We start from the raw sequence: 13,344 nt of genomic DNA, 5'->3' as shown, positions 1-13,344 counted from the left end.
TTCCATGAATGTGATTGTTTTAATAGTAACCTTTGCCAAAGATTTCTAAAATAGATTTCTAAAATACCATGCAATCTCAAGGTTCAAATTCTGGATGAAAATAATGTTTTGTTGAAATGATCTTCCAAAGAGAACACCGTGCTTGGTAATTAGAATGACAGGTTAAGCATTATTCTTCAACTACCATAAGGAAAAATAATCTTGTCTTTGCCACCTAATTGATTTGCTTACTAATTGATTTAAAATGTCCTTTCACTTTAATGAGTCTGTCTATTTACAGTGGTAGTTTATAAGGTTAAAGTATGCATTCCCAAATATTAGATATTCTTTAATCATGTCGTATATCCAAGTTGAAAACAGTAGGTATTTGGGGAGCAAGCAAGACGATATTTAAAATAATTAGGTATTTTTTAAAAATTCATATTATTCTCAAAAATAATTCTGGAAAGACTTCGGTGGCCTTTCACATTGAATGAGAGAATATGATGTCACCACTTACACTTTCTGTTTCTGTTTTATGTTCACAAACCAGGCCAGGGGGCCAGCTGTAAACCCACATTCTATTTTGATTACATTGTCATAACTTTCAGTTCTAACTGGAGAAAGCCAGAATTTAAATCTAGCCAGAGTATTAATGCTGCTCAACCAGGAGGGAAATGAAAGTGGGATCTCAGAGTGAACATGTGGTCCTTCCGAATTTCCTCCTGGACCTGGACAGGACTCATGGTCGAACCCGAGATCCTGAAACATTTTCACCGTGACTCAGAGTGAGCAGGAAGGGTGGGGCTGGCCTCTTTGTTTTCTCACAAGGTTAATAGCGTGTACCTTAGAATGAGCCAGAGCGCAGCAGGGGTAACAGCACATGGCTTAGCCTTCGCGAGGCAGATGTGGTGAATGAGCCGTTGAGACCGCCCCTGACAACGTCAGGCTGTTTGCAGTACCCATGGGCCTCGCCCTCTCCAGACTAGGGGAAGGGTGTGTCTGAGATGCAATCTAAGAAATGATCATTCTTTAAATTCTAAAGGTGAAGAGATGTAAACAGCATTTTAATTATAATTTGCCTAAAATGTGTTTCTTGTAGAGGATAGGCATCCCTGTGCACATGCAAAATCTTGGAAGAAAAATATATGTTGAGAAGGCTTGACTAAGGGACAGAACAAATAGCACGCTGGTTTTCTGTTTTCCTTAACGCTGATAAGGTCAGAAGAGCTGTGAATGTCTCTATGTAATTAACAGGGTGCAAAAGAACAGGAACGAGATTCAGGGGACTCCAGAAAGAACTTTAATTTCTGTTCCTTGGTTTCCTCATGGGACACATGGGACGAAGTATTAATAGCTATAAATGCCCATAACAACTGAGATTTGATAGTAAATTCCAAATTAAGTTAACACTTGAACTTTATAAAAAATACACACTTCATTTCCCTATGGGCCATATACAAAATGTGAGCTGCAATCAAAGTCCTGGCTAGGGAGTTTCTGGTAACGTGTCTGTATTATGGGATGTACACACTGAGAAAAGCATTGATCACTGCACCTGCAGAAGCCTTTCCAGCATGTGCCTCACCCACATACTGCCTGAAAGTCTTCTGAGAATCATTCTATAGTCACAAAAAAATCCCCTGGGAAGGTCCTACACTCATACCTATTTTACAGATTGAGGAAGTGGGTTGAGAGGCTTGATAACTTGTGCAAGGCAGCGTGGCTGGTAAGCAGACACTCTTCACAATTGCACTATGCTGTCTGCAATATCCAACTGCCCTTTCCTTGATCCGGCACATAGTTTGAATTGAGGGAAGTCTTTCAGTATTTAGAAAAATCACAGATGACTAAATGGTAAAATAGCAGAAACAATGAGTGAGAAGTTAGATATTTGCTTCATTCCAAGGGAAGAGAAACGACAAAGTAGTCAGGTAGTTAGCCAAAAGCTCAGCCTCCAAGAGCAGTCAGATATAGCAAAGCCTGAGAATTCCTTATCTAAAAGTAGTGAAATGTGAAAGGCTAACATGAGAAATTTCATCCTGATTATAAGGAAATTTTCCAGACAGTGAAGTGAATTGAACTGTAATCATGTACCTAAAAAGAAATCATGAAAGTCCTTTGTGTATGGCATTTTAGAAACTGACAAGCACACAGGAAAGAAGGCAGGTTCACTGACTCCAGACATCTTTCCATCTGCACTATCTTTTTAAGGATTACTTTAAGGACCTCAAAAGGAGACAAAACAGCAGACTGTTAAAAGCAGCCGTCAATATTTATCTAAACACAATGAAGCAACTGCTTGTGCTACGACAAGCAGTAATAAAATGATGGGACTACCACTGTTGGTCCTATTAGTGGAAACAATTAATAGAAAAATGGGCCAACATGAAACTGTTGGTAACTTTGTAAGGGAAAATCACTTCCCTAAAAAAGGGAACGGCATCAGCATCACCACTCATGAGAGCAATGATTGACACTTCACATGCACCAGCAAACCTCATCCAGCCCGCAGCCCTCTGAGGAAAGCACTGCTGACAGCTCCATGGTGCCCACCAGAAAATGCAGGTGCAGCTGCTTCAGGAGCTTACTCAAGTCCCACAGCTGGTAAGTGGGACAGCTGGGATTTGCACCACATTCCTCTGACTCTGATGAACGTGCTTTTGTCCGTGATATAATGCCACAAATAGAGCTCTAAAATCCACCTTGAGTAGGCAGTATACTCCAAAGTTGTGCAGAGTACAGACTAGTAATAGGTACAATTGCTAGTAATAGCTACAACGCTTAAACTGATGTTGCATACATTTAAAATTAAGTTTGCATTTGAACTTGATAAAACGTGTGCATTTAACTTACTTCCCTGCAGGTCACATACGAAATGAGAGCTGGATTCCAAGGCCTAACCAGGGAGTTTCTAGTATTACTGTGGCACACAGTGGACGCTGCACTGACCACAGTGTGTGCGAAAGTATTTCAGGTCTCTCTACTCCATTTTCTCTGCAGTACTCTCTGACCCAATCCAAGAGAAAAATGTGCTGCAATATTGGCTGTCTTCTGTTGGTGTTGCTAAGTTACTGAATATTTTGCCTTGCCTTGCCCAGAAACTGTGTTAATTGTCTTTAAAGAGATAAGCTACATTCTGGAACATCTTTGTATATGCCCTAAATGTACTGAGTATTTTTGTAAAATAAATTTTGTTCTATTCTTTCTCTCTCAAATATAATTTGGAGAGAACCATGTGATTCTGTACTAATTTGAAACATAAATCTCTAACATATTATTAGTATATAAGCAGAAAAATATCTTTTTTTAGAGTCCTTGGGAGCTGTGCGTGTGCCTACGCAGGCACACCCATGCATCCTGGTAAGACTGCCTAGAAAGGAAGAGACCCATGCTCTGAAAGGGATGATGACATTGAACAGAGAACATGATGGATCACAATTCTGCCAGTGAAGGCAGGGCAGGTGGAGAGGTGGGTGCTGGTCTGGTCCCTGTGTTTAACACAGCCAGGCCATCTGTTTTAGTCCTCTTTTCAAAAAACACATTTTTGAGAGAACTTAATTTATTTCTTGAAGGTTCCGAATAATGAAAAAAGAATAGGCAAAATACAATTTTATATAACAGAAGGCAAATTGAAACACATATTCAAAATGCTTGCTTCTTTTCTTTTGCCCCTAAAGTCTTCACGTGAAAATATACAAAGGCAATTTTGGAAATCAGCATATGTGTTCCTATCTTCTATGAGTTCTCTACCTCACGCAATTAATGGAATGGGAATGGGGGCAGAAGCCTTCCAGCTCTTGAACAGTAACACCAACCCTCCAAATTCCTTTCTACTTCTTCCTAACAGTGGTGGAAACTTGCTCAGTGTCAGGGCTGGGCTTTAGGGAGGTCCTGAGACACCGGAGCCACAGAAGGGCCAACGTTCCACCTCTGGGGCTGTCTCCACGTTGTTCCTCCTGCTAGCGGCGTTTGGCACAGGCCTTACCTGCTCTGAGCCACTGAAACAGCCGGTGGGATGTGTATACCCATGTTGCCATGGAATAAAGCAAAACTTTACAAAGCTTGGATTAAATAAGATTCTCCTAGGATCTGCCGGCTTTATTAATTTCTTTTTCTTTGCTCCACTTCCTTTCCTTTTTCAAGACTGGTATAGGGGAAGGAGACAAATTTAACAGCTCAGCAATGGTTCTGTCTACGGATAGAAATAGCAAGAAACGAGGAAATCCAAGCTCTAGGATGTGTGATTTCTTCTTGCACATGTTTGCAAATTTGCTTCTACAATCAGCCCTGGCTGCGAATTAAGACATAAACTGGGGGACTCAGGGCCGTTTGCAAATAATCGCCTGCGCACATCCCAGTCGTCTAATCTGTGACAGGCAACTGTTGGACTGGAGGATGGCAAAGTCCTCTTCCAACTCCAGGTCTTGTCAATGTTTCACAGGCTGCTGCTGCTATTATGTACGCATGTTTGTATGTATCTATGCATTTATTTGTATCCCCGAACTAAACAAAAATTAGATAAATAGTCCAACACATTGGTTCTTTTCCCACCGTAGTTGGGGCAATTTGTCCGAAGATGAATGACCTCACTATATTTTAGGCAGTGGAGGTTTGCTGAGGCATGAAAGTTAGTGATTTTTTGTGAATATTTAACAGAGAAGAAGTAAGCTGATGATACCAGGGGACTCAGAACTTATCCTGTCTAACCAGGAAGAAAGAGAAGTATTGTGCCCTGAAAAGCAAGGAAAAAACCCAGAGCTTTCATTGCTCGGAAAAGATAGATAGCATATTCCCTCTGAGTTTTCTTAGATGCAGCCTGGGATAGGGGAGAAAATGTAACATTCAGAGAAAGGTGGGATACAGCATATAGCATTGTTCTCCTTTTTAAATTAATTAAAGCTTTTTTTCCTAAGTATGTTTGTATTCATGTACTTTTCAAGTGTGATGTTCAAAAAACAATGCAACTTTTTACTAAATTTAAAGATACTTCAGGTAATTTCTCAGTTTTGTACATGATGTATTCCTGAAGGCTTTTCTGAAAGTAGACTCTCTGAAAATTAAGCAACAAGGTTGTGTGTATGTGTGTGTAAGTGTGTATGAGAAAGACAGAGAGACAGAGAATGATGATTAGTGGGTTATCACACTTCTATGACCACTGGAGACAGCAGTTAGGTAACTATGGGGGTTCCTTGTAAGGATTCTGTCTTTAACACTAGAGTCTATGCAGGCATCTTCCTGAGTTCACTGCATCTACCAGCCCTGCTGTGGGTGGTCTGCTATTTAAATGCCTGCTGACACTGTCAAAGGGACCTGAAGTTGGGAGAATGGAGAGGAGTGTGTCTTTGCTCATCACAGCTTCACGACCTAGGAGGTCACCAATCCTGGAGAGGAGGACAAAAGCCAAGCTGGAGTCTGGTCTTGGGGGTAAAGTACGTGCTGGGTTCTGTGGCTCCCAGGACTGAGCAAGAACCAGGTCTGATGTGCTTGGTCACCAGGGCCTGTGAGGCCCCATGGTGGGGAGCTGGGATGCAGTAGAACAAGGGGTCTTTTTAAGCATGACCTTGTGCCCACTGTCTTTCTGTCTGAGGCTGTTTATTATTAGCTCAGCAGATACTTGCTGCACATATCCCGTGTGCAGCAATCACCACACGAGCTAAAAAGTATCCCTTGCTGGAGGATCATCAACGACTCATTTTGCAGCTGAGGACAGGCTGTTTGGCACTCAAGGGCCACCTCGATAAAATTCCTTTTTACATGAACAGCAGTTTCAGGAGAATGAATTGTCTTAATTATCTGAATTTTAGAAAAAAATTAACCATAGAGCATTTGCTAGGTTTATTTGCATTTAGTGAATTTCACTTAAAAATACTACAATAATGCTTCATACTCATCTCTGTAATCAGTCTGGTACTCAAAGCCTCAAACTGCTTTGTAAGAAGACTTGAGTATCATGACTTTTCTCTGAAGAAATGGTTGCAAAAAGAAGTGAACACTGTTCCCAAAGTGTCCCTGCAATTCAATAGTAAAGCAAGACCTCCTACTCCAAATACATGACCAGATGCCTTTTCCCTGTGCCCTCCAACTGCTCTGCCCACCACTCACCCCTGTCCCTGACCCTTCTTTCTACACATTCCTAAAGTTGGTGTGGATGAGGGCTTTTCCTGTGAAAAGTCATAGGAGTTTGATAACCTACTAACCATGCATTCTCTCTCTCTCTCTCTTCTCTAAGGTTATTCCAAGTGTGTTCTTAGATGTGGACAGACTATTGCCTCCCGGTCACTGGAGCGTTCTCAATACTTCAGCCATCTGTGCATGATGGGTACAGTAGGAATTGAATTGTGCCAGTTGGTAACGGCTTCAGTAAGGGCTGCAGAGAAGATACAGAACAGAAACGACCAGGAGCAGATCCTCACGGAGCCCCCCGGCTAGTGATGAGGATCACTGTGCCCTGGACACGCAGACACAAGCAATCTTCGCATTGACCTTGTTCTGGGGCTCACTCTAAGCTATCTCTGAAGAAAACCATTGCCTAATCTGGAGCTGCTACTACCAGAAATAACCATAGTCAAGGAAAACTCTACGTCCAAGTAAACTCAAGATATCAGGAAATAAGATTAAAAAGGAGTGTGGGGCTGCCACTGACATTTTAAAATCTCCTCTTTGTATTCTCTATTTTCAGAAAACAATTTCAACATCAAGCATGAAGTTTATGATGAATATAGGAAATAGAAGGATGGTGAGGATTGAGGATTTTGTCTGTGGGAAATTATTATTGTTCTGATATTTTAAAACAGAAGAGCCAAACCAAAACAACTGTTCTTTTGACTAAAAAGGTGATGAGAGATTTTTAGTGTCCCCACCACACATGCACACACACACACAGGCACACACATACACACCTGTGCACACACACACACGTATGCACACGCGTACATACATGTACACACATACACATATACACATACACACAGGCACACCTGTGCCCACAGACACACATATACACACATGCACACACACGTACACACGTACACACATACCCATATACATGCATACACACGTGCGCAGACACACATACACAGGAACACACACGTACACACATGTACACACACGTATACACAGAGACACACAGACACACACAGGCGCACACGTGCACACATACACACACATACACGCACATCCGCGCACACACAATGGCAACTATGGGTGGGTTGGATGTGTTAATTTCTTTGATTGTGGTAATGAGTATACAATGTACGTGCATATGAAATCATGTTCTACACCTTGAATATACACAATTTTTATTTGTCAATTAAATATTTTAAAATTTAAAAATATTTCCCCTCAGGAAAAAATTAATAAACAAAAGTAGCAGATTGGTTCCTTAGCAATGTGAATATACTTAACACTACTGAACCGTACACTTAAAAATGGTTACAGTAGTAAATCTTACGTGTATTTTACCATAATTCAAAACTTAAATGTTTTTAAAGTGAAAAAGAGGCAGCAATGGGGTTCTCACTTTAAGCTTCTCACCTCATTTACCAGTAGGTAACTTGTTGGGGCTTTCCCAGTCATTCTGCGTTGTCTATGCAGGCAACTATTTGCTTGAATGTCCGTTTTCCAACAGATGCCTTCCAACACGTGGAACACTCTGGAGTCATTTCCCCATGGGCTCCGGCTCTCCCTTCACACTGTGCTTCTGAATAGTCTTGAAAGCATTGCAGGAGACGACAGCACTTTCCTGCAGACACAACCACCTTGAGGGTTTCTTCTGACCTTTGCTCCTGAAATCCTTTGCTGACCTTTCTGACTTTTGCTCCTGCAGCTGTGCTCACGCAGGTGCAGCCCAATGGTTTTCTGAAACTGCGCCCTACCTCCCTCACCCTGACAGCAGTGCTGCAGGAGAGATGTCACTGTCCCACCAGGCAGGTGAGGAGCCGAGGATGCAGGACTGGCCTAGGTCACCTGGCCAGCCACTGCATGGTGGGGCTGAGGCATAAACCAATGGCAAGGACGCCTGCCTCCCAAGTGACCAGCTCAGCATCCAGTTCTGTAATTCCATGTCTCTGTGGATGCATGGTTTACTTTTACGTTTTGGAATATCTATATGAAATCATGGGTTTTTATGTAGCTGTATCATTGTCAAGCTTGAGAAATGCACACATCAAAGACTTTGTTCCCGTCTATCTCAGAGGAGGAGAAGCTAGGCAGCTGACCTCAGGGAGCAGCCAGAGGCTTGACCTGAGGAGCCTCTTGCTTACTTGTGAATCCACAGCACCCCTGGTGACAAAAGAGAACCTGCGTGAACCCCACCCCACCCCAGCACGGTGGAAGGAATTCAGCTGACTTTCACAATAGCAACCAAAGCTTTTGAACTGCCCTTTTTGTAACCAAGCAAACCAAACTCGACAGTGAAAAGAGATGCCTCTGTGATGTGCGAAAGATAATTCGTTACAGTGAGTTAGAAACTGATTTGCTTACAGAAATTTTGGTTTTATATTTGATTTACTTGTGTGCCGCAGGCTGACGGTAGCCCTGGCCGGAGGAATTCGAGGCTACAACCCAAGCTCCCTTGCCCTGTCGCCTCTGCTTGCACCAGCTCCCGGGGAACATTTCACACCAAATATTTCTTTGTATTTAAAAAAGGACTGTAAATGTCTGAAAATAATAGCTGGCACGACAGTGCCTCATTAGTTATCAAATGCCACACTATTATGACCACGGTATTAATTTTTTAGTTTTCACTTACTGGATTTTTTAAAAATGTAGGCTGTAGTTTTCAGAAATGTCAACTGCCAGAACACCCCCTGCTGACAGGGAAAGAGGCTTTGCAAACATGGGAGGAAAGGACGCAAGAGGGGAGTGCGGCTGTCCTGTGCAGGGGACTCTGTCACACACCACGAACGCCTCAGTCAGACACCTCCTCTGCATGGTACTTTCATCACGTAGTCACTGCGAGGAAAAACTGTGCTAGAAACAACATGCAGCTTTTTGGAAAAGTTTATCTTTGTCAGGATACATAATAGGGCCAGGCTTCAGGAGGCCTTCTCCAGGGTTCTAAAGGAAGGCAAGAGCGAAAGGAATGCAGCCGTAGAGAATAGTTTTGGAATGACAGAGGCCATATGACTCAGCTTCACTTGGCAAAAAAAAAAAAAAAAAAGCCACTTAGTCACTTACTATGTTGTCCCCTTCCCCTTGCCTTCAGCTCTGCCATGCATGTCAAAAGCATGTTAGTGAAGAGGGAAAGTAAAATGGCCACTTTTCTCTGGGGAAACACAGCCATGTCCCTAATTCCCCCAACACCTTCTGGGGACGCTTGAACTCATCGCTGGTTGAATTCACAGCCATAGCTAACATGTTTACAACATGATTCACTGTGTCATGATCTCAAGCCATTTCTTATTCCTTCTGCAACCAGAACCTTTTAATAAATACTCTTGAAAATGGGAAACTGGCTGTCAGTTTTTAGTGACTTTCCAGCTCTTGCTTTATATTTTTAATCTTAAAATAAAACTGATCTTTTTAAAGACACAAATGTGTTAGTAGCCACCCAGATACTTCTAGTGAGTAAATTACTCTTCTGGAATAACAAATTAGAGGCTTTTGAAAGTGCATTAACCCTTTAGACTCACCCTGCGCAGCTCACTTGTGCAGGGAGTTTCCACACAGCGCATGAGTCACCAGCAAAGCTTACTCCTCGTCCACCCCTCTCCTCCCTAGGGAGTAATTTCCTTAGAACATCTCAGTGTTTATGCATTAAAGGCCCAGAATGCAGCAGGAATCTCCAGTAACACTAAGAAATTCCAGAGTTGCACATCTGAGGAAGTGGGGAGGAATCTTCATCTGGCTCTCCCAGTATTAAGCGAGCAATCATCAAAAGTGTCACTTTTCAGATAACTTGAGTTGACTTCTGGAAGCTTCGAGAATGCTTTTTGAGATGCTTTTCAATACATGCCTCTAAAAAATTCACTATAGTGTGCCTTCTGATTTTATTATATTTGGTTTGTGGTATGGTGAGTGGCAGACCTCTTCCAGGAGGACGCAGTGTTGTCACCTTGACCAGGAAATGCAGGGACATGCCCATCTCTTGGGCTATTGGTATATGTGGCAGGTTATTTGCTAAAACAGAAATGATGGAGCCAGTAGGTTTGTGTCTACTTACCATTCTTTTATTCCCTGATTTTCCTTTGTTTTAGACTTTGAAATGGCAATTTCTAAAATTCAGAAGGCTAAGATCAATGAGAAAATCCATCCTTGTATTGTTAAGAAGCCTTTATCTTGTTATATAATGGTTTCACTATCTTTTCTTGGGGCTGTCATAATCCTTTGTGGAAATACAAGAGCTTCTGGTTTCTAATTAGGTTTAAACCGTATCTAAATTAAGAGTAAATGCGCACTGACTGAGAGTTTGAAGAACCAAAGAGAAAAAAGAAGTGCATAAATGTCAGTGGAATCACTTTACAATCTCTGTTTGGTTTGCATGAATGGGTGTTTGTGTGTGTATTTCAAAAGTGGGGAAAATGGACTCTGAAACAGTAAAGGATCCTTTCTGGATGTCTGGATACTAACATATTCTCCTTAACAAGGCAACACAAGCTGCTCTGAGAACAACAGCCAATTCTGGATAAGTGAAATTGCAATGAGTACTCCATTAAATTATTTTCCATGTGTGAATGGTGAAGCTTGCATAATTGGCTTCTAGTGGGGAAGAACACGACACAATTATTATGAATTAAAATTACATCTATTTGACAGTCAAACATGACCTGTGGATACTACATACAACCTATTTTTAAGCATTAATCTATAACTTTGCATATAAACTGCAGGTATTTTTTAATTAAAATTCTAGTATCAAGATCATAGTTTAAGGAAATGTATTATTTTGTATATCAAAAATAGAGGTTCTCTTAGGTTTACAAGTTTTCTTTTAGTCCATGGAAGACTTAACGTGCTTAAAAAAAATCTATTATGTTCAGGCTAATAAATCTACAAGACTTTATATAATTTTTTTAATTAGATTTTTACCACCTGAGGGTTTTGTGTGGAGATGAGAAGCCAAGAAGAGACATACACAGTATCAAGTGAGTAATCCTAAGAATGACTGTACTCATTTCACTGGAATTTTTCTTTTCAGAAGTGAGCAGCTGGCATTTGCCCTCCAGGACGGTCCTCAAGCTGTGGAGCGCACTGATGGTCTTCCTTTCATTTCTGCCTCCTTTCTGAACAGCATACCTTCATCTGCCACTCCATCCTTTTGCTCCACTCCTCTCGAGGTGCAGACCTAGTGTTGACACCAGTATTTACGTCCATGCCCATGACGTCCTTTGTGTTAGTCTGGCTGATGCTGTGTGTTGTCTGTTGGATTCAAGATGGCCCCATCTCAGAAAACTGAGAAAAACTGCGTGTGCTGATGGTAAAATGCTTTGCGAGAACCTCATGGGAAGAGAACTTTTTCCATGAGTGCAAGTTTAGTATTCATTTAAAATACTATTTTTTGTTCATTATATTTCCTCCCATACACCTGGTCTTTTAATCTTAAACACACACACTAACCCCTCCATAATTCTATCTCTGTCCAGAGAATTCCACATCGTTTCAATCACATCAGCACATGTGGTTCGATCTAAATTATGGACCAAAGTAAAATAAGAGCCTGAACCTAAATGACTTCACCAGGGAAGAGGATTCAAACGAGATCAAGGAGGAAATGCGGGGGAGAGAAAACTTGGCCAAAAGGCAGAAAAAGATGTGAGAGGAGGTGAAGGGAGCCAGTTTAATGAGGTCGGTCGTTCTTGCTTCCGGGCACATATTTCTTCATTTCTCTTATTTTCTGAAACTTGACCCCCATGTGTTCTTTCCATTTGACCCTCAGTGAAGAGAATGGAGATGCAACATGAGGTCCTGGAGCAGGCAGACTTTGGAAGCTGACAACCCTGAGCTTGCCTTTGGGGTCTGTGAGTTTGTGGAGAAAGACTCTCCATCTCTGATCCTCTGGTGTTTCCTCTCCTGTAAAAAGGGAACCGTGGTGCCTCTCTCGAAAGCCAATTTCAAGCACTGAAATAAACCAATGGGCTTAGAGCACAGTGCCTGGCATGAGACGGGCATCCACCACATGGTAAGATTCATCTCGTATGAGCAGCAAGGGCTGCACAAACTTTGTATTAAAAGCACATTTTCAAGTTCAGAGCACAGCAGCACATTTTAAGTAGCTTTTCAAAGATGCCACAAGTCCGTTTCTGATATTTTCAAAGAACTGGGGAGGGGAAAAAAGGAAACTGAGAATTCAGAACAGCCCCCAGGACCACCTTCACATAAAATAGCGATGGGAACGTGCAGTAATATGGGACTCTTTGGTTGCTTATCAGTTATGATCCAAATGGCACAAATATAATGGAAGCAAGCACCATGGAGTTATATTCAGAAACCCATGCACATTTTTCCATGCAGATGAGCAGCAATGAAAGAGAAAACATGCTCACAGAAGCACTAAGGTATAAATGATCAGTAGTTAATTATTTTGCAAGCTATTTCTAGGGCTGTGATCTTAATTAAAGGGTTAAGAAAGGGGTACATGGGGGTCGGGAGTCCTCCATGTCTCTACTGTTTAACCTTTTCAGTGCTCACGTGTTACTCTAATTTTAATCTCTATGCCTCCAAAGCCAACACTCCTGCCTCCAACACAGTGGCCTATGACGCAAGAGAGTGTGCCGAAATCCCTGCCATGTCATTGAAGACTAATTTTAATTCAGAAATGAAGTTTCCTTCTCTAGAAAGTCTTGAGAGCTGCTGGTGCTGAGATTGAGACCCACTTCCAGAACAGTTCCACCCTCCTTCCCCATCTTTCTAGCCTTGGACATCTCTTGTTTCTAAAGATAGACTTCTTACTCTTCACTTATCTCCTGGGGATCGAGTTCCTCTCCTGGTTAATTGGAGTTTTGGTTTGTGCTCCAGGGTCCCAAATTTCCCTGAAACTGACAGTAGAGTTCCATGGCCTTGAGCAGTTAAATGGCCCTCCCCACTCTGGCCTCCAGCGATGAGCGAACCTCAAGCGCTTGGTCCTTTGATGAACAGTCAGCCTAAGCTGCTCACCTCCAACAATGCTGCCCACTTAGCAGCTGAGCCTTTGCCGTGCTGAAACAGGCTTGCTTCTGGGTGCTGCAAAAATTAGGCCATCAAGTTATAAATTGCCTGGTAGGTTAAGTAGATTAAGTCAGAGTCAGTCTACCTTTCCCATCTTTTAGCTAAGTTCCATTTGTCTCGGTTCCAAAAATTCACATATGGAAAATGAAGTTTCACAGAGATATATGTTTACAGTCTCTCTCTCTCTCTCTCTCTCTCACACACACACACACACACACA

At 42.0% G+C, this 13,344-nt stretch overlaps 1 protein-coding gene across 8 annotated transcripts in view, besides 3 other annotated features; it reads right to left on the bottom strand.

Annotated features, from left to right (window-relative positions):
* The window catches only part of EGFR (epidermal growth factor receptor), a 192,612-nt gene that overhangs the window by 136,656 nt on the left and 42,612 nt on the right, over positions 1-13,344 (bottom strand). The window lies entirely within an intron of this gene.
* Positions 97-1,296: an enhancer, noted in NCBI's record as "MED14-independent group 3 enhancer chr7:55141370-55142569 (GRCh37/hg19 assembly coordinates)". NCBI's record gives its function as "activates an origin of replication core promoter dependent on BRD2, BRD4, P300/CBP and CDK7 cofactors, and independent of MED14, by STARR-seq in HCT116 cells {active_cell/tissue: HCT116}" and the evidence as "EXISTENCE:reporter gene assay evidence [ECO:0000049][PMID:35650434]".
* Positions 415-584: an enhancer, noted in NCBI's record as "active region_26008". NCBI's record gives its function as "activates an Ori minimal core promoter by ATAC-STARR-seq in GM12878 lymphoblastoid cells {active_cell/tissue: GM12878}" and the evidence as "EXISTENCE:reporter gene assay evidence [ECO:0000049][PMID:35858748]".
* Positions 7,485-8,061: an enhancer, noted in NCBI's record as "H3K27ac-H3K4me1 hESC enhancer chr7:55134605-55135181 (GRCh37/hg19 assembly coordinates)". NCBI's record gives its function as "activates a minimal SCP1, AML or CMV promoter by ChIP-STARR-seq in naive and primed H9 embryonic stem cells {active_cell/tissue: H9 hESC(naive and primed)}" and the evidence as "EXISTENCE:reporter gene assay evidence [ECO:0000049][PMID:30033119]".

The sequence above is a fragment of the Homo sapiens genome, chromosome 7 (assembly GCF_000001405.40).
Source record: "Homo sapiens chromosome 7, GRCh38.p14 Primary Assembly".
Taxonomy (NCBI): domain Eukaryota; kingdom Metazoa; phylum Chordata; class Mammalia; order Primates; family Hominidae; genus Homo; species Homo sapiens.
The sequence above is the reverse complement of the archived record's forward strand: the minus strand, read 5'-3'. Positions and strand labels throughout refer to the sequence as shown.